The following is a 23,960-nucleotide window of genomic DNA, read 5'->3' as shown; positions in this document are numbered from 1 at the left end:
GGCCGGGATGGATGGGGGGCACAGACGGAGGGATGAGGGCCGGGATGGGTGGGGGGGGGCACAGGTGTAGGGATCAGGGCCAGGATAGGGGGGCACAGGCAGAAGGGTGAGGGCGAGGATGGGAGGGGCACAGGCAGAGGGTCGAGGCTGGGGTGGGGAGGCACAGTGTGACCAGGGATGAGCTAGGGGAAGCACTGGAAGCTTTAACAGCCCGCTGGAGGCATCTGATCCAGCCTAGGTGATCAGGTGAGGCTTCCTGGAAGAGGAGGCAGGTGTGAGCTGAAACCTAAAGGAGGCCTTAGGTGGAGGGGTGGTGGGAGAGTGTTCCCAGCAGAGAAGGCCACATGCTGCCTCGCCATCAGTGAGGAAAGAGTACATCCTGCTGCTGTGAGGAACTGAAAATGGTTGGGTGAGGCTGGAAAATAGAGCTCCTGTGCAGGAGAGCAGGGAGAGATGAGGCAGGGCCTGGGCATGTGGCTCTGTGGGCCCTGGCCCAGCCCGCGGTCAAGGGGCTTCCTGTAGGATGTGGCATTTAAGTGGAAAGGTGAGGTATCAAGTGAATGGGGTGTGTGTGTATGTCAGGCCTGGGGTAGGGGACAGAGAGAACATCAGGTGCAAAGGGCTTGAATTGGGAGAAAACACACAGTCCTAGGGGAACTGAAAGAGGACCAGGCGGCTAGAAAGCAAAAAGCAAGAGGGTTTGCGGTTAGACCCAGGCAGGGCCAGCCCTTCCCAGGCTTTGTAAGCCACGGCAGGGTGATTCGACTTTATCTACAGTGGGCTGGGGAGCCACAAGAAGGGTCTGAGTGGGGGTGGGGAGGGAGCATGGTCTACCTGGCATTTGGGAACAACTTTACATATGTTTTTTTTTTTTTTTGAGACAGAGTCTTGCTCTGTTGCCCAGGCTGGAGTGCTGTGGTGCAATATTGGCTCACTGCGACCTCCACCACCGAGTTCAAGAGATTCTCCTGCCTCAGCCTCCTGAGTAGTCGGGAATACAGGTGCGTGTCACCCCACCCAGCTAATTTTTGTACTTTTTTCTTTTTTTTTTTTTTTTGAGATGGAGTTTTGCTCTTGTTGCCCAGGCTGGAGTGCAATGGCGTGATCTCGGCTCACTGCAACCTCCGCCTCCGGGGTTCAAGAGATTCTCCTGCCTCAGCCTCCCAGGTAGCTGGGATTATAGGCGCCCACCACCACATCCCACTAATTTTTGTATTTTTAGTGGAGACAGGGTTTCACCACGTTGGCCAGACTGGTCTCAAACTCTTGACCTCAGATGATCCACCTGCCTTGGCCTCCCAAAATGCTGGGATTAAAAGCGTGAGCCACAGCGCCCGGCATACACTTGTTCTTTCCGTGTCCCCAGGATGTGAGAGAACACAGTCATCCTAGAGTAAAAACTAAGATAAGTGACTATAATGAGAACGAGGCTGTGGGCAGCGAGGCCGTGTCTGGAAGAGCCTCAGATGTCAGGTTGAGGAGCTGGACTTTGTCCTGAGAGCAGGGAGGAACCCACGGAGCCAGACTGCAGGACATCTTTGGAGATAAACCCCAGAAATGATTCTTTTAATTGTGGATTGTGGCCTGTGTCTCTAGTAAGTTCGCATCAATTTGGGTTATGATCACCATTATTAGAATAGAAGAGAAAATATAAATGTGCATTGAACGCTGGGTATACCTTGGGTGAAACTTTTTTTTAAACTTGACACAGAGTCTCAATGTGTTACCCAGGCTGGAGTGCAGTGGCGCAGTCATAGCACACTGCAACCTCAAACTCCTAAGCTCAAGCAATCCTCTTGCCTCAGCCTCCCACAGTGTTGGGATTACAGGCGTGAGTCACTGCGCCCGGCCTGGGTGAAACTTTTAATTGTGGATAATGATGATAGAAGCTAACATCTATATAATCCTGAGGATGTGCCAGGCACTAGTCTAAGTCTTTTTTTTTTTCCTTTTTTTTGAGACGGAGTTTCACTCTCGTTGCCTAGGCTGGAGTGCAGTGGCGCAATCTCGGCTCATGGCAACCTCCACCTCCCGGGTTCAAGTGATTCTCCTGTCTCAGCCTCCCGAGTAGCTGGGATTACAGGCATGCGCCACCATGCCCAGCTAATTTTGTATTTTTAGTAGATATGGGGTTTCTCCATGTTGGTCAGGCCGGTCTCAAACTCCCAACCTCAGGTAATCTGCCCCCCTCAGCCCCCCAAAGTGCTGGGATTACAGGCATGAGCCACCGTGCAAGGCAATGGTCTAAGTCTTTTAAGTCTTCGATAGCCAGGGAGCACCTATTAGTCCTAAAAGCAACTACTATTACACACTCATTTTACAGGTGAGGCCCCCAGGGCATAGGGAGGAGGTTGAGTAGCCTGCCCCAAAATCACACGGCTCATAAGTGGCAGGGGCACGCTCCCTGAGTACCTTTCCAATAATAATAGTTTGAAAAGCTCAAATAAGGCCGGGTGCAGTTGCTCACATCTGTAATCCCAGCACTTTGGGAGGCCGAGGTGGGTGGATCATTTGAGGTCAGGAGTTCGAGACAAGCCTGGCCAACATTGTGAGACCCCCCCACCTCCATCTCTACTAAAAATACAAAAATCAGCTGGGTGTGGTAGTGTGCGCCTGTAATCCCAGCTACTCAGGAGGCTAACGCAGGAGAATCACTTGAACCTGAGAGACAGAGGTTGCAGTAAGCTGAGGTCATGTCACTGCACTCCAGCCTGGGTGACAGAACGAGACTCTGTCTCAGGAACAACAACAACAAAAAACCTCAGCTCAAATAATATTGAAACAATGGCGAAGAGGTGTGGAGCACTCATATGCCTGGCACTGTTCAAAGTATCTGACATGGCCAGGTGCGGCGGCTCACACCTGTAATCCCAGCACTTTGGGAGGCCGAGGTGGGCAGATCACGACGGCACAGGCAGAGATGGAGACCATCCTGGCCAACATGGTGAAACTCCGTCTCTACTAAGAATACAAAAATTGGCCGGGCGCAGTGGCTCATGCCTGTAATCCCAGCACTTTGGGAGGCCCAGGCGGGCGGATCACCAGGTCAGGAGATCGAGACCATCCTGGCTAACATGGTGAAACCCCGGCTCTACTAAAAATACAAAAAATTTGCCAGGCGTGGTGGCGGGCGCCTGTTGTCCCAGCTACTCGGGAGGCAGAGGCAGGAGAATGGCATGAACCCGGGAGGCGGAGCTTGCAGTGAGCTGAGATCACGCCACTGCACTCCAGCCTGGGCCAGACTCTGTCTCAAAAAAAAAAGAAAGAAAGAAAATTAAGAATACAAAAAGTATCTGGGTGTGGTGGCATGCGCCTGTAGTCCCAGCTACTTGGGAGGCTGAGGCAGGAGAATCACTTGAACCCAGGAAGCGGAGGTTGCAGTGAGCTGAGATTGCGCCACTGCACTCTAGCCTGGCAACACAGTGAGACTCCATCTCAAAAAAAAAAAAAAAAAATGTGCCTGGCATGCATCAGCTTGCCAAACTGTAGGTACTATTTTCATTTTTTAGAGATAGGGTCTCTGTCTGTCTGCCAGGATGGAGTGTAGTGGCCCATTCGTAGCTCACTAAAGCCTCAAACTGCTGGGACCAAGTGATCCTCTTGCCTTAGCCTCCAGGCACACAACACAACACCCAGCTAACGTTTAAATTTTTTTTTATAGAGACAGGATTTTTGCTTTGTTGCCCAGGCTGGTTTCCAACTCCTGGACTCAAGTAATCGTCCCGCCTCGGCCTCCCGACGCACTGGGATTGCAGGCTGGAGGCACCACGCCCGGCCTGGAGGTACCATTATTAACTCCTTCAACAGATGCGAGAAGGAAGGGTCCCAGAGTGCTAGGGGAGGGGCTCACCGTCATCATGTCATCACACTTCATGTCAGGTTCATCCTCATCCTCGCTCTTGTTGTAGAACTTGCGGAAGAAGTTGAAGGCCACCACGGTGTACAGGTAGACGACCACCGCCAGAAGGCCCACGGTCATCACCAGCTGGGGGCAGGATGGGGCCAGGTCAGCTCCGCCCTGGGCTTGCCCTCCCCCCACCCTGCCCATGCTGGGTCCTGGCCCCGGTTCAGTCCCTGTGGCTCTACCTTGCTGCCCCACACACCCCCGGCTCAGCGCACCTGGCCTTGCCCCTCCTCAGCCCAGCTGCCCGGCCCTTATCCCTTCACCACCCACTGCCACGCTGGTCCCTGCTGGCCCACGCCCCACAGCCAGGTCCTCCCCACACCTGTTTCCCATTGTGGGTGACAGAGGACAGGATGGTGCGCAGCGTCTTGACCCCCATGGCGATGTCCAGGAGATGGGCAGCAAAGAAGAAGTTGTTGTAGTGTCCCAAGAGGGACATCACCATATACCAGCCCAGGTACAGGAAGGACTGTGGGCACACAGGGCCAGGGGTCAGGGGGAAGGCAGGGACACACGAGGAGCACTCTGGAGGGTAGGGGCCACTCGAGAGTCAGCTGTGCCCTGGGGGTCGGGTGCCAGCTCTGTTTGGGGAGTACATGGAGGATCAGGGCATTCCGGGTGAGAAGGCATCCTGCGGGGAGATGAGAGCCCCCTCCAGAAGGAAATAATCTGGCAATCTAAGGGCACACTGAGGGAGCCAAAGGATGTTCTGGGCCGGGTGTGGTGGCTCATGCCTGTATCCCCAGTGCTTTGGGGGGCTGAGGCAGGAGCATCACTTGAGGTCAGGAGTTGAAGACCAGTCTGGGCAACATAGCGAGACTCCATCATCTCTTCCTCTGTCTTTTTTTTTTTTTTTTTTTGAGATGGAGTTTCACACTTGTCACCCAGGCTGGAATGCTATGGCGCAATCTCAGCTCACTGCAACCTCCGCCTCTCAGGTTCAAGTGAAGGAGGCTAAGCCTGCCAAGTAGCTGAGACCACAGGTGTGGGTAACCACACCCAGCTAATTTTTTTTTTTTTTTTTTTGAGATGGAGTCTTAGTCTGTTGCCCAGGCTGGAGTGCAGTGTTGCAATCTCAGCTCACTGCAACCTCCGCCTCCCGGGTTCAAGCGATTCTCCTGCCTTAGCCTCCAAAGTAGCTGGGACCACAGGCGTGGGTCACCACACCCAGCTAATTTTTGTATTTTTAGTAGAGATGGGTTTCACCATGATGGCCAGGCTGGTCTCTAACTCCTGGCCTCAAGTGATCCACCCACCTCGGCCTCCCAACCCAAAGTGCTGGGATTACAGGCCTGAGCCACCGCACCTGGCCACTCTCTGTTTTTTGTTAGAGACAGGGTCTCGCTCTGTTATCCACGCTGGAGTGCAGTGGTGCACATGCAGCTCACTGAAACCTCTGCCTCCTGGGCTCAAGCCATCCTCCCACCGCAGCTTGTTGAGTGGCTGGGACTACAGGTGTGCACCACCACGCCTGGCTAATTTTTGTATTGTTTGTAGAGACAGGGTTTCACCGTCTCTACAAAAGTTGCCCAAGCTGGTCTTAAACGTTTGAGCTCAAGCAAACCTCTGCCTCCGCCTCCCAAAGTGCTGGGATTATAGGCCTGAGCCACTGTGCCTGTCTGCCTGGCTAATTTTTTGTGTTTTTGTTGTTGTTGTTGTTGAGATGGATTCTCATTCTGTCGCCCAGGCTGGAGTGCAGTGGTGCGATCTTGGCTCACTGCAGCCTCCACCTCCTGGATTCAAGCCATTCTCCTGCCTCAGCCTCCTGAGTAGCTGGGATTACAGGCACCTGCTGCCATGCCCAGTGCCAGGTTTGTCTTGAACTCCTGACCTCAAGTGATCTGCCTGCCTCGGCCTCCCAAAGTGCTGGGACTACAGGCGTAAGCCAGCACGCCCAGCCCCAGCTAATTTTTAAATTTTCTGTAGAGAGAGGATCTCACTATATTGCCCAGGCTGGTCTCAAACTCTGGGCTCCAGTGATCCACCAGCCTTGGCTTCTCAAAGTGTTGGGAGTACAGGCGTGAGCCACCACACCCAATCCCAGCTATTTAAAAAAAAATAGTAATAATAATACTAATAAGATGTCTAGGGGGATAAGGAGCCTTGTGTGGATAAGAAGATACCCTAGGGTCACAGCCACTCAGGGTCCCAGGAGTCATTCTTTGGTCAGGAACACCCGACGTTGGGAACCCTCCTAACGCCCCACCCCTGCAGAGTCCCTCCCCAGTCTGTGGGCCCCTGCTCACGTTGTCTGTGAAGATGACCCCGAACTTCCAGATCTGGTACTTGACATCGATGGACATGAGCCTGTGGGGGCGGGGGTGGGGAGAGATGCTTGAGTGTCAGACTCCAGTCACCTCCCCTGCATGCCCCAGGCCTGTGCAGGGGTGTCCTGGGCTCACCAGGTCAGCAGCCCTGGCGGCGGGTTGGGCTTGCGCTCATTGTGGGCTGTGATCTCTAGTGTGGCCAGGTCCATGCCCAGTAGCTCAGCAATCCGCTCCCGCCCGTAGATGTCCCCATGTTTGTCCAGGACCTGCACAAGAGAGCATCAGGCTGTGTAGACACAGCTGGAGTGTGGGTGTGTGTCGTGGCCTGCAAGGGGGTTCTGGGGACACTCCAAACTCTGAGTGAGAAATGGGAGGTGCATTTTTTTTTTTGAGACAGTCTCCCTCTGTCACCCAGGCTGGAGGGCAGTGGCGCCATCTCTGCTCACTGCAACCTGTGCCTCCCGGGTTCAAGCGATTCTCCTGCCTCAGCCACCTGAGTAGCTGGGATTACAGGCATGCACCACCATGCCCGGCTAATTTTGTATTTTTAGTAGGGACGGGGTTTCTCTGTGTTGGTCAGGCTGGTCTTGAACTCCTAACCTCAAGTGATCTGCCCTCCTTGGCCTCCCAAAGTGCTGGGATTACAGGCGTGAGCCACCGTGCCCAGCCCACTTTGTTTTTTTCTACAGCATTTATCACCACTGACATACTGTACTTGGGTTCATCATCTATCTTTCCAACTTGAAGGTCAGAATCACTGTTTTGTTTAACACGGGATCCCAGGTTTCTAAAACTGTTCCTGGCACATAATAGGTGCTCCGTAAATATGAGTGAACGAATTATAGTAACAGCCAACATATCTAGTGTTCTCCTATATGCCAGATACTGCTCATGTAGTACATAATACAACAACCCTGTAGGGTTGGCCGTATTATTACCCCACTTTGAGTATGAGGTACAGAAAGGTCAATAAGCCAGAAATAGAAAGGCAGGCAATCGGCTGGGCGCGGTGGCTCGTGCCTGTAATCCCAGCACTTTGGGAGGCCGAGGCGGGTGGATCACCTGAGGTCAGGAGTTCGAGATCAGCCTGGCCCACATGGCGAAACCCCGTCTCTACTAAAAATACAAAAATTAGCCAGACGTGGTGGTGGGTGCCTGTAATCCCAGCTACTCGGGAGGCTGAGGCAGGAGAATCGCTTGAACCCGGGAGGTGGAGGTTGCAGTGAGCTGAGATTGTGCCACTGCACTCCAGACTGGGTAACAGAGCGAGACTCCGTCTCAAAGAAAAAAACAAAAGAAAAGCAGGCAATCTGGTTCCAGAGTGTGTGTGCTTAAGACATATTGCTAACTTCCTCTCTTTCAACTAGTATTTCTCTCTTTTTTTGAGACGGAGTCTCGCTCTGTCACCCAGGCTGGAATGCAATGGCGCGATCTCGGCTCACTGCAGCCTCTGCCGCCCGGGTTCAAGTGATTCTCCTGCCTCAGTCTCTCAAGTAGCTGGGATTACAGGTGCCCAGCTAATTTTTGTGTTTTTAGTAGAGATGCAGTTTTGCCATGTTGTCCAGGCTGGTCTCAAACTCCTGACCTCAAGTGATCTGCCCACCTCGGCCTCCCAAAGTGCTGGGATTACAGGCGTGTGCCACTGCTCCTGGCCTCAACCAGTATTTCTTGAGTATTCACTCTGTGCCAGGCACTATGCTATGCTTTCTTATTTTTTGTTATTATTATTTTTTTTGAGATGAGGTCTCACTCTTTCACCCAGGCTGTAGTGCAGTGGTGCAATCTTGGCTCACTGCAACTTCTGCCTCCCAGGTTAAGCGATCCTCCCACCTCAGCCTCCTGAGTAGCTGGGACTACAGGCATGCGGTACCGTGCTAATTTTTTGTATTTTTGGTAGAGACGGCATTTTGCCATGTTGCCCAGGCTGCTGTGAAATTCCTGAGCTCAAGTGTTACATCCATCTCAGCCTCCCAAAGTTCTGGGATTACAGGCGTGAGCCACCACGCTTGGCCTTGATGCTCTGCTCTTTCCATGTGCCCATTCAAGAAAGGGAAGCAAGCTTACTATGCCCATCTCCCCATGGGGAAACTGAGGTGCTACTCAGAAAGGCAAAAAAACCTCTTGCCCAAGGTCACACACCAAGCAAGTGCTTGGCAGGCCTGTGATGGCCTGGTGGCAGGCAGGGACCCAATCCAGGACCCAGGGCATCCATGTCCTCTCACCTTGCGCTTGACAAACTTGTCCCAGTAGTTGCTAGGGAAAGACCTGCAGAGAGAGAGAGAGAAAGCGTGAGTATAAGATGTTAGGGCCAGAGGGATCAGAGCTGTCAGCCACGACAGGGTTGGCTGAAACTCCACTGTTTTTCTTTTTCCTTTTTTTTTGAGATGGAGTCTCACTCTGTTGCCCAGGCTGGAGTGCAGTGGTGTGATATCTGCTCACTGCAAACTTTGCCTCCCAGGTTCAAGCGATTCTCCTGCCTCAGCCTCCTGAGTAGCTGGGATTACAGGCGCCCACCACCACGCCCGGCTAATTTTCGTATTTTTAGTAGAGACGAGGTTTTGCCATGTTGGCCAGGCTGTTCTTGAACTTCTGACCTCAGGTGATGCCCCCACCCGCCTTGGCCTCCCAAAGTGCTGGGATTACAGGCGCCCACCACCACGCCCGGCTAATTTTTGTATTTTTAGTAGAGACAGGGTTTTGCCATGTTGGCCAGGCTGGTCTCAAACTTCTGACCTCAGGTGATCCCCCCTCCCGCCTTGGCCTCCCAAAGTGCTGGGATTACAGGCGTGAGCCACCTGCGCCTGGCTCCACTGCTTTTCTTGTAGGAACCTTGAACAGTGGGGACCCCACTGCCATCTTTGCTAGACCCCAAATGAGGCAGAGAATTTGCATTCAGAGCCAGATGTGCAAAAAAGACCTCAGAATGGCACTCTGATAAAGAGGCTCTGGCGTGGTGATGGGTGGGGAGGAGTCCAAAACAGCAGCCTAACTCAGCACCAACTCCAGTGCAACTGCCTGCTTCCTCATACTGGTTGATTTCATTTAATTTCATGATTCTGGCCCTTTATTCACCAGTTTTCCAAGTGACAAATTGATGCCCTAACATCCTCAAATATGGCCAACGAGTTTTTTTTTTTTTTTTTTGAGACGGAGTCTCGCTCTGTCGCCCAGGCTGGAGTGCAGTGGTGCCATCTGGGCTCACTGCAAGCTCCGCCTCCTCGGTTCACGCCATTCTTCTGCCTCAGCCTCCCGAGTAGCTGTGACTACAGGCACCCACTGCCACGCCCAGCTAATTTTTTTGTATTTTTAGTAGAGACAGGGTTTCACCATGTTAGCCAGGATGGTCTGGATCTCCTGACCTCGTGATCCGCCTGCCTCGGCCTCCCAAAGTGCTAGGATTGATTACAGATGTGAGCCACTGTGCCCAGCCACGAGTTTTGTTTTTTGAGAGGGTGGAGCGATGATTGATTATGAATTCACGGATTTGCAATTATTTGAAGTGCTTTGATTCATTGCACTTCCAATTCCTACTTGTTTTTTTTTTGGCCCCCAGACATAGGGTCTTGCTCTGTCACTCAGGCTGAAGGACAGTGGCATAATCATAGCTCACTGCAGCCTAGAACTCCTGGGCTCACGCCATCCTCCAGCCTCAGCCTCCCAAACAGCTAAGACTACAGGCATGCGCTAGCCAGGCTAGCATGTCTGGCTAACTTTTTAGTTTTTTTTTTCTAAAGATATAGGTCTCTCTATGTTGTCCAGGCTGGTCTTGAACTCCTGGGCACAAGGGATCCTCCTGCCTCAGCCTCCCAAAGTGCTGAGATTACAGGCGTGAGCCACTGAGTGCGGCCCCTAGGGCCCCTAATGATTTCTTTTCTTTCTTTTTTTTTTTTCCTTTCTTTTTCTTTTCCTTTTTTTTTTTTTTTTCAGATGGAGTCTCGCTCTGTTGCCCAGGCTGGAGTGCAGAGGCACAATCTCGGCTCACTGCAACCTCCACCTCGCAGGTTTAAGTGATTCTCATGCCTCAGCCTCCGGAGTAGCTAGGACCACAGGCACCCACCACCATGCCTACTTTTTGTATTTTTAGTAGAGACTAATTTTTGTATTTTTAGTAGAGATGGGGTTTCACCATGTTGGCTAGGCTGGTCTCGAACTCCTGACCTCAAGTGATCTGCCACCTTGGCCTCCCAAGTGTTGGGATTACAGGCATGAGCCATCGTGCCTGGCCATGTTTTTTTATTTTGCACTCATTGCACCTGAGTAAGAATCACACCTGGAGACAGGGTTTAAAACACGGGTTCCTGGGCTCACACCCCAGAGTCACTGAACAGGAACCTCCAGGCCTCAAGTCTAGGAATCTCTGTGTGCCAACCTCACCCACACAGATGCTGTAATGCATGGGAAATGTGCCTCTTTTATGGAAAGAAAGAGTAAGACTTGGGGAGAATGAGGCAGGGCCTGCAGGGACTGAAACCCTAGGTTTTTTTTTTTTTGTCTGGGGGGAAGGGGGTGGAATTTCACTCTTGTTGCCCAGGCTGGAGTGTAATGGTGCGATCTCGGCTCACTGCATCCTCCACATCCCAGGTTCAAGTGATTCTTCTGATTCAGCCTTCCCAGTAGCTGGGATTACAGGCGCCCGCCACCACGCCCAGCTAATTTTTGTACTTTTAGTAGAGACGGGATTTCACCATGTTGTCCAGGCTGGTCTCAAACTCCTGACCTCGTGATCCGCCCGCCTTAGCCTCCCAAAGTGCCGGGATTACAGGTGTGAGCCACCGTGCCCGGACCGAAACCCTAGTTTTTTGGGGTCCAGGCCTGGACTGGGTGGAAACCCAGGTCCCCTCCTGCTGCCACCCTGAGGTGGGGGCTGGGTCCTTACGGCGTGTTGAGCACCAGTCGGTCCCACTGCCCCTTCACGTCATCGTCCTCAGGCTGCTCCGTGATGTACAGGCCATCAAACTCCAGCTTCCGGGCCAGCTCCTTCTCCCGCTTAAAGATTACCAGGGGCACCTGGATAGTGGGAGGAGGCCAAAGGTGGGCGTCAGGCACCTTGGCTGGACCATAGTCTCAGCAGAAGCCATGACATCTTGCTGGGGTCTGTGTGTGACCCCACATCAGAAGTGCTTTCCCAGTGATAAGGGTAGAAATGAGGCCCAGGCAGAGGGCTTAGGGCTGGGATGTGGGGAACATGGGCAGAGGGGTCAGGGCAGGGATGGGGGAGGCACAGGCAGGGGGGTCAGGGCTGGAATGTGGTGCATAGATAGAGGGGTCAGGGCCGGGATAGGGGGCATAGATAGAAGAGTCAGGGCTGGAATTGGGGGGCACAGGCAGAGCAGTCGGGGCTGGCAGTGGAGAGGCACAGGCAGGGGTGTCAGGGCTGGGATGTAGGGGCATATAGGGGTCAGGGCTGGAATGGGGGTGGGGCACAGGCAGAGGGATCGGGCCAGGATGTGAGAACAGGGGAGCTGTGGGAGCCCAGGAGTGGTGCCTGATGCCACCTGGGGCTTCCCAAGGGAGGGAGGTCTGAACTCAGAACTGAAGGATGAATAAAACAGGCAGGTGCAAGGAGGTGGAAGCAGGGCAAAGTATTGCAGGCAGAGGGAATAGCATGTATGAAAGTTTTAAGCCCAAAGAACTCTAGTTCAATAGCAAAGTATCAAGACAGTGGTCCAGAACCTGGTTCCTCAGCTATAAGCCGTGTCCGTTCCCAATCTGAATGTCGTCCTTACTGGAGACCCCTGTCATCCTTGCTGGAGACCCCAATCCTGTACCCAGTTCCCCAGCCCTCACCCCAACCCTAGGCCCCCTCTGTCCCAACCACTTTGAGGGCCCCCAGCCCCAGCCAGTGCTCCAGCACTGCCCCCACCCCCACCCAGCCAATAAGCCCTTGCCCCAGAACCATGGCCATGGGCCCACCTTGAGACAATTATAGCCAATGATGCAGAGAAAGGCCACCAGTGTATGCAGGAGGCTCAGACACCGCAGGGCGGGTTCCATGTAGCCTGTGCTTTCCTCCAGGAAGTAGTACACCATGTTCTCATCCTCATCGCCCTCTGCCTCCTCTCCGGCCCCCAAGCCCCAGCCAGAGCTGCCACCAGAGCCTGCACCTGACACATCCCCAGCAGCTGAGCCTTCCATGTCGTCCTCCCCTGGTGGAGAGTCTGAGACCTGAAATGGGGACAGAGATTCATCTGTGGGTCTGCCACATGCAGAGCCCACTCACAAAATTGAGCCTCCATTCCCGAGATTGGACTGGGACCATACCAGATACAGTCTTGGTGTGGCTGTCAATCAAGATCAAGGGTTGGGCCTAGGGCTGTAGCTAGCAAATCAGACTCTGACCTGGGAATTAGCCTATTGAACTGAGTGGCACAGAACTGAAGACAGAGTTGGTTCATCTTGATAGTGGAGCCCTAAAGAGACTGCCCACTAATATTAACACTAACATGAAAATTAGTAGCAGCTAAACATTTACACAGTGCTTTTTATATGCCAGGTACTGTTGCTCTAACTGCCTTACACACACTCATCCTCTTTTTTTTGGTGGGGTGGACGGAGTTTCACTCTTGTCACCTAGGCTGGAGTGTAGTGGTGCAATCTCGGCTCACTGCAACCTTTGCCTCCTGGGTTCAAGGGATTCTACTGCCTCAGCCTCCTGCATAGCTTGGATTACAGGTGCCCGCCACCAGGCCTGGCTAATTTTTTTTTGTATTTTTAGTAGAGACGGGGTTTCACCATGTGGCCAGGCTGGTCTTGAATTCCGGACTTCAGGTAATCCACCTACCTCGGCCTCCCAAAGTGCTGGGATTACAGGCGTGAGCCACTGTGCCTGGTGCCTTATCCTCTTTCAATCCCCACAGCTCTAAGAGGTATTCCATTTTACAGATGAGGGAGTTGAGGCACAGGGATGGTAAGCACCTTGCCTATCGTCATGCGCCAGTGGGCAGTCCCACTGTGGGACTTCTGGGTCCCACAGAAGCCATGCTTCGATCTCTCTAGTCTACCTTACTGTCCTGTTATCTAGACCCCTGGCAAGACCCCAAGGGTCCCTTTGTCCTTCAGGAGGCCTGGTTCTTAACCCATTCCTTCCATTCTGTGAGTGGCCCATTTCTTCCTCCCTGCAAACTTCTGTTTAGCTTATGTGAAACCAAAGATGCTTAACAGAATCAGTGGGTGTTGCCAAGAGCTGAGGGCCTGCACCCAGGCGCACAGGACTGGCATGTGGCCGAGCTGAGCAGAGAACTCAGCTCCTGCTCCTGCTCTAACTCCCACAGACACTCAGGCTTCTGTCCCAGATGGATCCAGATATCCCCTACTCACCCCCATGGAGGGGGGTCCCAGGATCCAGGTGTCCAGCCTGAACCCTCCTAACGACCCAAAGCCCAATACCTTATCCCTTCAGTGGAGGAACCCTGAAATTCTGATAGGGGCTGAGCCTCCCATCCCACAGCATGGAAAAGGGCCTGACCCTCCCAGCCCTTCAGGACCAGCACCTTATAAAACAGCAAGATGAAGTTGATGGCAAATGCCAAGAAGAGGGCAAGGAACCGCAGGGTGTAAAAGTTCCGGGACAGGTAGTTCTGAGAGAGAAGAGAAAAAGAGAGAAAGCGCTCACAGATCAGCCTCTTCCCTGGAGAATTCATCCCATCATTTACCTGCAATCAAAGTACCTGGGCTCTCAATATCTTTCCTACAACCTCCTATTTATTTATTAATTATTATTATTATTATTTTTGAGACAGAGTCTTGCTCTGTCGTCCAGGCTGGAGTGCAGTGGTGCGATCTTGGCTCACTGCAACCTCTGCCGCCCGGGTTCAAGCAATTCCTCTGCTGCCGCCTCCCGAGTAGCTGGGACTACAGGCGTGTGCCACCACGCCCAGCTAATTTGTGTATTTTTAGTAGAGACAGGGTTTCACCATATTGGCCAGGCTGATCTCAAACTCCTGACCTCGTGATCCGCCCTCCTCAGCCTAAGTGCTGGGATTACAGGCTTGAGCCACCACGTCCAGCCTATTTATTTATTTTTGAGACAAGGTCTCACTCTGTCACCCAGGCTCGAATGCAGTGGCGCCATCTCGGCTCACTGCAACCTCTGCCTACCGGGTTCAAATTCTCATGACTCAGCCTCCTAAGTAGCTGGGATTACAGGTATGCACCACCACACTCAGTTAGTTTTTGTATTTTCAGTAGAGACGGGGTCTCACCATGTTGGTCAGGCTGGTCTCAAACTCCTGACCTCAGGTGATCCACCCACCTCAGCCTCCCAAAGTGCTAGGATTATAGGTGTGAGCCACCTCGGCTGGCCTCAACCTCCTATTTGTTGAGTGCTTGCTTATACCAACATCTGGGCTAAGAACTTTATTTGCATGAGCTTGTTTAATTCTCAGTACACCCCTGTGAAGTGGGCACTACTGTTATGCGCACTTTACAGATGAGGAAACTGAGGCTCAGGGAAGTGGTGTCTTGCTCAAGGTAACATAACCAACGAGTGGCAGAGATGGGATTTGAACCCGGGCAGTCAGCCTCCAGAGTCCAAGCTCCAAGCCACTTGGCCATGCTGCTTCCTGAGTGAGGTCACCCCACCTGTCGCCCTGCCTGCTTTACAGAAGATGAAAGGGAATTTTTTTTTTTTTTGAGTCAAGGTCTTACTCTCACCCAGGTTGGAGTGAAGTGACACAACCATAGCTCACTGCTGCCTCAACCTCCTGTGCTTAAGTGATCCTCCCGCCTCAGCCTCCTGAACAGCTGGGACCACAGGCATGTGTCACCTCACCCAGCTAATTAAAAAAACATTTTTGGCTACTCTGGGTGCACTGCCTAGAGGGTAGCCCTGCTCTGCAAGGAGCAGTAATTAAAAAAAAAAAAAGATTAAAAATATTCGGCCAGGTGCAGTGGCTCACGCCTGTAATCCCAGCACTTTGGGAGGCCAAGGCGGGTGGATCACAAGGTCAGATCTAGGCCATTCTGGCTAACACGGTGAAACCCCGTTTCTACTAAAAATACAAAAAATTAGCCAGGCGTGGCGGCGGGCGCCTGTAGTCCTAGCTACTCGGGAGGCTGAGGCAGGAGAATGGCGTGAACCCAGGAGTCAGAGCTTGCAGTGAGCCGAGATTGTGCCACTGCACTCCAACCTGGGCAACAGAGCGAGACTCCGTCTCAAAAAAAAAAAAAATTCTTTTGTAGAGACAGGGATCTCCCTATGTTGCCCTGGCTTGCCCCAAACTCCTGGGCTCCAGTGATCCTCCTACCTTGGACTTCCAAAGTACTGGACTTACAGGCATGAGCCCCCTCGCACGGCCAGGAACATCTTCCATCTCTCCCTCTTTCTCTCCACCTTTCCCTCCATCCCTCATTCTTCCCACAAATTCTGACGGAACCACCTTCGTTCCACATGATTCCCTCACCGCCCCCCCGCCCCCCACCACCACTTTGTTTGAGGCAGAGTCTCACTCTGTCGCCCAGGCTGGAGTGCAGTGGCACGATCTCGGCTCACTGAAACTTCTGCCTCTTGGGTTCAAGCGATTCTCATGCCTCAGCATCCTGAGTAGCTGGAATTGCAGGCATGCACCACTATGGCTGGCTAATTTTTTTTTTTTTTTTTTTTTGTATTTTTAGTAGAGATGGGGTTTCACCATGTTGGCCAGTCTGGTCTTGAACTCCTGACCTCAGGCGATCCGCCTGCCTCGGCCTCCCAAGGTGCTGGGATTACAGGTGTGACCCACCGTGCCCAGCCTCCCTCACCCCCTCCTATCGGGCCAGGCCTGGAGGGGAGACAGGATGGAGGGAACCCTGGGACCTGCCTCCCAACACCCACCCTTCTTCCTGGCCTGGATGAGATGAACGCTTCCCCAGGAATTGGGAGAGCTCAGACCTCCACAGCAGCACTGGGAGTGGTGGAGGGACTGAGACTGTAAGGGCTGACAGCCAAGAACAGGCCACGGTGGGAAGGCCAGAGTGGTGGCCTCACTGAATGTAGCTCTGGACAGAGGATGGAGGTGGAAGTGTGGGTGGGTGGCCCCGATGAACAGAGGTATGGAGGTTGGAATAAGGATAGTGAGCAGGGAAGGGACAAGGAACCAAGTGAGGGCCATCTGAAAATGCTACCCTGTCCGCAGGTCTGGGGATACCTCTGCCCTTTCCCCAGCTAGGGTTCTTCTTAGAGACGAGCTTGAACAGATGAACTCAAGAACAAGGTGAGCAGGAGAGGTGGGCACCAGAGGTGGGGCTCCCGGGGAGAAGAAGGTTCAGGTGACCTGGCTGGATCCTTACCAGGAACTTCACCCTCTGCACCTCCAGTTCTCCCCAGAATTCGCCTCCAGCTTCCTCCTTCTTTGGAGGGGGTGAGGGAGGTGCTTGCTTCTTGGGGGGCTCTGGTGTGGGCTCGGGAACTTCTTCCTTCTCCCCATTCTCGGCACTGCAGGGCAGGACAGAGAGAGGTCAGGAGGTGCCTGGGCAGGCAATGCATGAGTTCATTCATTCAAAACCATTCACCAAGGGCCCGCCCTGTGCCTGGCCCAGGTTTGGATGGTACTGGGTACATGGGATGATGAGATAATCAGGACTTGCCCTTATGGGGCTCCAGTCCAATGTGGGAGACAGGCAGTGACAGTGACACCAGGCAGTGACAGCCCAGAGTGGTCGGGGCTGGGATGGAGGAAGCTCAGGGGGTTGTGGGAATCTGGAGGAGACACCTCCTCAACTTAGGAGGGGGTCAGGTGTCCTGGAGAATTGGAAAGGATGAGAAAGACTCAGAGTAGGCATGGGGGCCTGTGTTCCAGGCAGCGGGAAAGCACATGCGAAGGCCTGGCAGTTAGATGGGAGTTTTCATTTTTCTATCTCTCCATATTTTTTTTTCTTTTTCGACACAGGGTCTTGCTCTGTCACCCAGGCTGGAGGGCAATGCTGCGATCAGGGCTCACTGCAGCCTCCACCTCCAGGGGTCAAGTGATCCTCCCACCTCAGCCTCCCCACACACCACCATGCTTGGCTAATTTTAATTTTTTTTTTATGTTGCCCAGGTTGGAGCATTTATTTCTTGATTCTTTTACTCAGAGCCCCTCCTCCGTGCCTGAGTCTGGGCTGGGTGATGCCGAGGACACAGGGTGGCCAGGACAGCCTTGGGGCCTGACCTCTGGAGGCTCCTACTCTAGGAGGGAGGCAGTGATAGGGGCTAGGCCCCTCAGCCCCAAGGCCACTCACTCGGCTTTCTCCGGCTCCAGCTCTGGTTCCGGCTCGGGCTCTGGCTCTGGCGGGAGCTCCTCCTCCACTCCATCCACCTAGGGACAGGGCAAGCATCAGGGCTGAGTCCTCACCCTAAGCGCTTCTCAGGCTGCCTGCCTGCTCCTCTCATCTCCTTTCTCTCTTATTTCCCCTGGGTAATCTAAGTTTTACACTTCCCTCCACCAGAAAGAGGCAGATTATGATTCCCGTTTTACAGAGGGGAAACTGAGGCTCATCGAGGTGAAGCCCTTTGCCCAAAGCACTGCGCAGGGTCGGGCTGACTCCAAGTGCAGCTCTGCTTGTCCCCAGGGCTTCCCACCACCTTGACCTCCACATTCCCAAGGCATTCCCAGCACCAAGGGCCTGAGGATGTTTGGGGTCCCTTCCTCCACGGTGTACTTCATTCCCACAACGAGTATCTCCGAGGGTCTTTTCCTAGTGGCCCTGACCCTGTCTCGGGACTTTTTTTAGTCTTGGTCTTTCTTTTCCTTTTTTTTTTTTTTTTTTTTTTTTTTTTTGAGACAGAGTCTCGCTCTGTCGCCCAGGCTGGAGTGCAGTGGCACCATCTTGGCTCACTGCAACCTCTGCCTCCCGGGTTCAAGCGATTCTCCTGCCTCAGCCTCCCGAGTAGCTGGGATTACAGGCGCACACCACCATGCCCGGCTAATTTTTATATTTTTAGTAGAGACGGGGTTCCACCACGGTGGCCAGGATGGTCTCAAACTCCTGACCTCAGGTGATCGGCCCGCCTCGGCCTCCCAAAGTGCTGGGATCACAGGTGTAAGCCACCGCGCCTGGCTTAGTTTTGGTCTTTCCTGCCCTCTAATTTGGTCTCTGGGTTTCTTACTCTCTCTGGCTCTGCAGGTATCATTTTCTCTACCTCTCCGGGCCCTGCACTCTGTCCGGCCCTGCACTCTGTCCGGCCCTGCACTCTCTCTCCCCGGCCCTTTCTCCAGGTCTCCATCTCTGAGTCTCTTTCTCTGTGGGTCTGAGTATCCCTCTGTCTCTGAGCGTCTCTCTTGCCCGGCGCCCGCTGTCCCCGTGTGCGTCCTCCATGGGTGCGTCCTCCGTGGGTGCGTGTGCCCATCCCCCTAGCCAGTTCTCTCCTCTGTGTGTGTCTCCACCCAGCCGGGCTCTCTTCCTCCCTCCAATCCCCCATCTTTCCAAAACCCCAAAACCCCGCCTGCTCTCTCACCCCCAATTTCCTCTTGAGGATGGGAGAGCCCTCGGGTGTGGGCGGTTCCGCAGGCGTCGTGTCCCCCATGTCCCCGAGACCGCCAGCCCCTTCGGGCCGGAAGGGGCCCCCATCGGTCACGGCCACCGCCCCGTCGGCACCGCCCGGCCCGGCCTCGTGCACCGCCTCCTCCTCGTCTCCAGCGCCCTCCGCGGCGTCTCCAGCGCCCTCGCTGGCACCCTCGCCGTCTGCGTCTCCGCCCGGCCCGGCCGGCTGCTCGCCGTGCACCTCGTCGCTGGTGGGGTCGGGCATGCCTGCCAGGAGCTCGGTCACCGTCACCTTCTTGGCGCCCTCCACCAGGCCGCCGCCGAACAGCGAGCCCCAGAGCAGGCCCAGCGCGCCCGCCGCCGCCCCCGCGCCAGCGGCCCCAGCGCGCGTCACTGCTGCCCAGAGCAGCGCCGCCACTGCGGTGGCCGCCTCGCGGGCCGTAAGCCGCCGCAGCCGCCGCACGCGCCGCCGCAGGCTGCGGTAGCTGAGGCCTCGCAGGGCCCGGCCTGCGGCCGCCACAACCCGCGCCGTCGCCCCCGCCGCCGCCGTGGCCGCCGTGCCCTCGAGCCCCGCCGCGCCCTCCTCCGCGCCTTCCGCGCCCGCCTCCGCCGCGCCCGCGCCCTCGTCCTCGTCGGTCTCCGGCTCGCCCTCGGGCTCCGAGATCTGCGCGGCGATCTGCATCTCGAAGATGGTGTCCTCGCAGAAACTCACGAAGAGCTCCATCTTCTCAGCCTCGCCGCCCTCGTTCACCACGTCGAAGATGAACTGGCGCTTGGACTCCTTCACCTGAAGCGAGGGGCGGCAGACAGGATAGGGCGCCGTCAGCGGGGGCTCGGACAGCAGCGACAGCGCAGTGGCAGCTACAAGGGGTCACCGCGGCAGGCGCTGTTCTAAATGCATTGTTGGTATTTTGTTTTTGAGACAGGGTCAGGCTGGGCGCGGTGGCTCCGCCTGTAATCATAGCACTTTGGGAAACTGAGGCTGGCAGATCACTTGGGGTCAGGAGTTCGAGACCAGCCTGGCCAACATGGTGAAACCCCCGTCTCTACTAAAAATGCAAAAATTAGCCGGTGTGGTGGCGCACCCCTGTAATCCGTTACTCGGGAGGCTGAGGTAGGAGAATAACTTGAACCCGGGAGGCGGAGGTTGCCATGAGCTGTGATCGTGCCACTGCACTCCAGCCTGGGCAACAGAGTGAAAGTCTGTCTCAAGAAAAAAAAAAAAAAAGACAAGATCTAGCTCTGTCTCCTAGGCTGGAATGAAGTGACGCTGTCTCACTGTAACCTTCGTCCCCAGGGTTCACATGATCCCCATGCCTCGGCCTCCTGAGTAGCTGGGATTACAGGCGCCTGCCACCATGCTGGGCTGAGTTTTTGAATTTTCAGTAGAGACAGGGTTTTGCCATGTTGGCCAGGCTGATCTGGAACTCCTGGCCTCAAGTGATCTGCCCGCCTCACCCTCCCAAAGTGCTGGGATTACAGGCATAAGCCACCATGACTGGCCTGCTAATTTCTAAAAAAAATTTTTTTGCAGAGACAGGGTCTGTCTGTGTTGGTCAGGCTGGTGTCGAACTCCTGGCCTCGAGCAATCCTCTGGCCTTGGCCTCCCAAAGTGCTGGGATTACAGGCAGGAGCCACAGCGCCTGGCCAAGTTGTTGTTTTGATTATCAATAGCAAACCTATAGAGAGAGCTTTATAGAGAGCACTCACTGTGGGTACTCCTGTAAATGCTTCAATAAGGCCAGGCCCCATACAAGCAGTTTCCATAAAACTCATTTAATCCTCACAAACAAGCCTAGGGCTAGCGGGTTTTCTTCCCATTTTATAGATGAGGACAGGGAGGCCCAGAAAGTTACATGCCCAGGTGACACAGACAAGGTGGCACATATAGGATTCGAACCCCCAGAGAGCTGGCTCCAGAATGGATGTGTTTAGCTTCCTTGAGAGGAGGAGCATAGTGCTTAAAGGCAAAGGCTCTGCAGCCAGCCTGCCTGGGTTCAAATCCTGATTCTGCCACTGAGTAGCTGGGTGATTTTGAATTAACTCTCTGGACCTCCGTTTTCCCCTCTGTAAAATGGGCATAATAGGACCTACATTATAGGGTTGGTGTGAGGGTTAAATGAGTTAATAGATGCTGCATGATTAGAACAGCGCCCGGTGCCTGATAAATGCTGTATAGTGGGCAGGCCACGGTGGCGCACACCTGTAATCCCAACACTTTGGGAGGCCGAGGCGGGCGGATCACCTGAGGTCAGGAGTTCAAGACCAGCCTTGCCAACATGGCAAAACCCCGCCTCTACTGAAAATATAAAAATTAGGTGGGCATGGTTGCACATGGCTGTAATCTCAGCTACTCAGGAGGCTGAGACAGGAAAACCGCTTGAACCCAGGAGGTGGAGGTTGAGTGAGCTGAGATCGTGCCATTGCACTCCAGCCTGGTCAACAAGAGCGAAACTCTGTCTCAAACAACAACAACACCGTAGTGTTACCTATTATTATACTGCCCCACAGGTGCTCCAAGGCCACATGGGCATACGTGGATGCCTGAGAAGCAGGGGAAAGTGGAATGGGAAGGGGTGAGCAGAAGGAAGCGGGTGTTTGGAGGAATAGCACTAAGGCAAAGAGTGTTTGTATGGGGAGCACGCAGGGTCAGAGGAAGAGAGGAGGGCAGAGCTCCCCCAGCACGTGCAAAGAATGAGTGGGAAGGGCCGTGGTGAACAGGGGCTTCCTGCAGAGGCAGGGATGTGTGGACATCCTGGGTGCCAGGATGCTGCAACCACTTGTGTGCCAGATGGGGGTGTGTATGCAGTGGGGCCCCGAGGGGCACAGATGAGTGTGCAAGATCTCAAGGGTTCCTGCGGAGTATGTGAGGAGACACCGGGGGCCAGGGAGGGATCAGGAGTAAGGAGGGCGTGGCGGCATGGGAAGATGCCAAAAGTGTGCAACCACGAGAGGCTCAGTGTGCACGGTGGACGTGGGCACACGGGGCAGGTGTGCAAGGGCCTGGGACTCTGTGGGGGGACAGGAGGAGTATGAGTGTGAGAGGGGCCTGCAGTTATGCAGTGTGCGTGAGGCAGGCATGAATGTGGGAAGGGGAGCCAAGGGTTTGTGTACTGGCTCCCAGAACATGAGGACAGGGCTCTGTGTGGGACATGAGCCCGCGTGCATGAGCTGGTGTCCCCTGAGGAGACATATGAAGGGCCCACTCATGAAGGAGGTGACGGGTGCGCAAACCTCCCGGGCTATGTGTGTGAGACAAGAAGGGGTGTGCAAGTACCTGGCGGCATCTGAGGAACAACAAGCAAGTGTGTGTGCAAGAGAATGAGGTGAGGGTGTGTCAGGGGCGTGTGGGGAGTGTGAGGGAATGGGGAGGGGAACCATATGTCAGCCAGGTGTGCCAGCTCTGCTGGGGACATGCCGGGACCACGTGAGTGTACCCTTGGGGCAAGCGAGTGTGTGAGGGATGTTCAAGCATTTGTGGGCTGGGCATAGGAGGAGCTGAGATAGGGCATGTCAGATTAGAGAGTAGGTCTGAGGGCTCTTCTGGGTGAGCCTGAGACCGTGGCCCAAGTGTGCATGGGTGAGCATGGTTGTGCCAGGGCTACAGTGAGGGCAAGTGGACAGTGAACAAATGAAGCATGCCAGGGTTCTGAGAGGGCTCATTGGCATCCTCAGGGTGTGTGTGCAAGAGGTGTGCACCCACGTGTGGGCCCAGAATAAGTTGGGGTACACATATGCTAGGACTTCAGAAGGCATCTGGGGGCAAACGTGATGACTGGTGAAGGGTGGGTCAGCATGCCAGGGCACCCCAGAGCCCCCAAGGCGAGCGTGTACAAGAGTGAGCATGAGCGGGCCAGGACCAAGAGACGGCACGCCGGGGGCTACTGGGAAGGTGAGCAAGGGGTGTGTCGCCATGCAGGTTCGAGGAGGTGAGAGTGTGGGTAGGGCTGCATCAGGGCTATAAGGGCCTGCCAGAGCTCCCAGGGTGTGGGTGTAAGGGGAAAGCATGGCGTGTGAGCAGCCACAGTCAGGACACACTGACCCTGCTTCATGCCCAAGGGGTGTGCATCCTTGTGTGGGCCAGGTCCGCAAGAAGTGGCCAGGGGCGAGCCAGGGATGTGCAAGGGCGCAGCTGGACGAAATGTGTACAAAAGGGTGGGCGTGGGCTTGCCGGAGCAGGGCAGATATGCGAGGCACGCACAGCCCCCGTGGGGTCTGAGGGTGCAGGAAGTGAGCACCCGCATGCCCGAAGCCCCAGGAGGCGAGCTTGCACGCGCGCGGGTTCCCTGACCTGGGGCATCTCCCACTGGGCGCGGTTGGTCTCTGAGATCTCGAAGTAGATGCGCTCGATGCGGCGTGACGCGCCCATGATCTCGATGCGGCCCAGGTAGGGGCGGAAGTACTCAAGGATGCTCTCGGCCAGCTCCAGGAAGTTGTGCAGGCGAGGGTCATGCGGCACATGCTCCGACAGGTTGGTCAGCAGCACCGCCACGTTGAAGCCGATGTCGCGTGCTGGCTCCTGGAAGCGGTTGGCGAACTCTTCGCAGTTGATCATTTCGTTCTCATCCGCTTCGGAGCACGAAAGCAGGAACTGGATTTCTGGACCGCTGAACTGCTTCTGGCTGTCCATGGCCTGGGGGCGGGCAGGGAGGTCAGTGGGGTGACCTGGAGAGCCTCAATTCTCTCTCTTTTTTTTTTTTTTTTTAAGACAAGGTCTCGCTGTGTCGCCCAGGCTGGAGTGCAGTGGCGCAATCACAGCTCAACCCAGCCTCAAGACATCCCCTCTCGTCCCCATCCCCACCCCCGGGCTCAAGTACCCAGCATCCAGAGCAGCTGGGACTACAGGCACACACCGCTACACCTGGCTAATTTTAATTTTAATTTTTTTTTGTAGAGATAAGGTCTCCCTATGTTGCCAAGGCTGGTCTCAAACTCCTGGGCTCAAGGGATCCTCCCACCTCAGCTGAAACTTGCTTTTTTTTCTTTTTCTTTCTCTTTTTTTTTTTTTTTTTTTTTGAGACGGAGTTTCGCTCTTGTCGCCCAGGCTGGAGTGCAGTGGCATGATCTCAGCTCACTGCAACCTCCACCTCCCAGGGTCAAGTGATTCTCCTGCCTCAGCCTCCTGAGCAGCTGGGATTACAGGTGCCCGCCACCACACCTGGCTAATTTTTTGTATTTTTAGTGAGATAGGGTTTCATCATGTTGGCCAGGCTGGTCTCGAACTCCTGTCCTCAGGTGATCCACCCGCCTCGGCCTCCCAAAGTGCAGGGGTGACAGGTGTGTGCCACCGCGCCCAGCCATAACACTCTTTATCTGTTATCCTGCTAATGGAAATGTAGGTTGCTTCCAGA

At 54.6% G+C, this 23,960-nt stretch overlaps 1 protein-coding gene across 5 annotated transcripts in view, besides 5 other annotated features; it reads right to left on the bottom strand.

Moving 5' to 3' along the window:
* Window positions 1-23,960, bottom strand: part of RYR1 (ryanodine receptor 1) — a 153,874-nt gene that overhangs the window by 3,210 nt on the left and 126,704 nt on the right. For 4 of the 5 annotated variants that reach the window (NM_000540.3, XM_006723317.3, NM_001042723.2 and 1 more), the window contains 12 exons: window positions 22,901-23,242; window positions 18,584-19,396; window positions 17,368-17,444; window positions 16,438-16,582; window positions 13,662-13,748; window positions 12,085-12,336; window positions 11,048-11,178; window positions 8,394-8,436; window positions 6,307-6,437; window positions 6,151-6,211; window positions 4,227-4,373; window positions 3,851-3,985 (listed from right to left, as the gene is read on the bottom strand). In NM_000540.3, the coding sequence (NP_000531.2) occupies window positions 3,851-3,985; window positions 4,227-4,373; window positions 6,151-6,211; window positions 6,307-6,437; window positions 8,394-8,436; window positions 11,048-11,178; window positions 12,085-12,336; window positions 13,662-13,748; window positions 16,438-16,582; window positions 17,368-17,444; window positions 18,584-19,396; window positions 22,901-23,242 (2,364 nt within the window). The remainder of the gene's footprint in view (window positions 1-3,850; window positions 3,986-4,226; window positions 4,374-6,150; window positions 6,212-6,306; window positions 6,438-8,393; window positions 8,437-11,047; window positions 11,179-12,084; window positions 12,337-13,661; window positions 13,749-16,437; window positions 16,583-17,367; window positions 17,445-18,583; window positions 19,397-22,900; window positions 23,243-23,960) is intronic. The other variant, XM_011527205.3, reaches the window with a different exon arrangement.
* Window positions 197-446: an enhancer, noted in NCBI's record as "active region_14578". NCBI's record gives its function as "activates an Ori minimal core promoter by ATAC-STARR-seq in GM12878 lymphoblastoid cells {active_cell/tissue: GM12878}" and the evidence as "EXISTENCE:reporter gene assay evidence [ECO:0000049][PMID:35858748]".
* Window positions 4,303-4,804: an enhancer, noted in NCBI's record as "H3K4me1 hESC enhancer chr19:39070191-39070692 (GRCh37/hg19 assembly coordinates)". NCBI's record gives its function as "activates a minimal SCP1, AML or CMV promoter by ChIP-STARR-seq in primed H9 embryonic stem cells {active_cell/tissue: H9 hESC(primed)}" and the evidence as "EXISTENCE:reporter gene assay evidence [ECO:0000049][PMID:30033119]".
* Window positions 14,839-15,039: a silencer, noted in NCBI's record as "peak3473 fragment used in MPRA reporter construct". NCBI's record gives its function as "represses an SCP1 promoter by STARR-seq MPRAs in K562 erythroleukemia cells {active_cell/tissue: K562}" and the evidence as "EXISTENCE:reporter gene assay evidence [ECO:0000049][PMID:32103011]".
* Window positions 14,857-14,976: an enhancer, noted in NCBI's record as "active region_14577". NCBI's record gives its function as "activates an Ori minimal core promoter by ATAC-STARR-seq in GM12878 lymphoblastoid cells {active_cell/tissue: GM12878}" and the evidence as "EXISTENCE:reporter gene assay evidence [ECO:0000049][PMID:35858748]".
* Window positions 18,674-18,743: a silencer, noted in NCBI's record as "silent region_10577". NCBI's record gives its function as "represses an Ori minimal core promoter by ATAC-STARR-seq in GM12878 lymphoblastoid cells {active_cell/tissue: GM12878}" and the evidence as "EXISTENCE:reporter gene assay evidence [ECO:0000049][PMID:35858748]".

This window comes from Homo sapiens, chromosome 19 (assembly GCF_000001405.40).
Source record: "Homo sapiens chromosome 19, GRCh38.p14 Primary Assembly".
Lineage (NCBI taxonomy): Eukaryota > Metazoa > Chordata > Mammalia > Primates > Hominidae > Homo > Homo sapiens.
The sequence above is the reverse complement of the archived record's forward strand: the minus strand, read 5'-3'. Positions and strand labels throughout refer to the sequence as shown.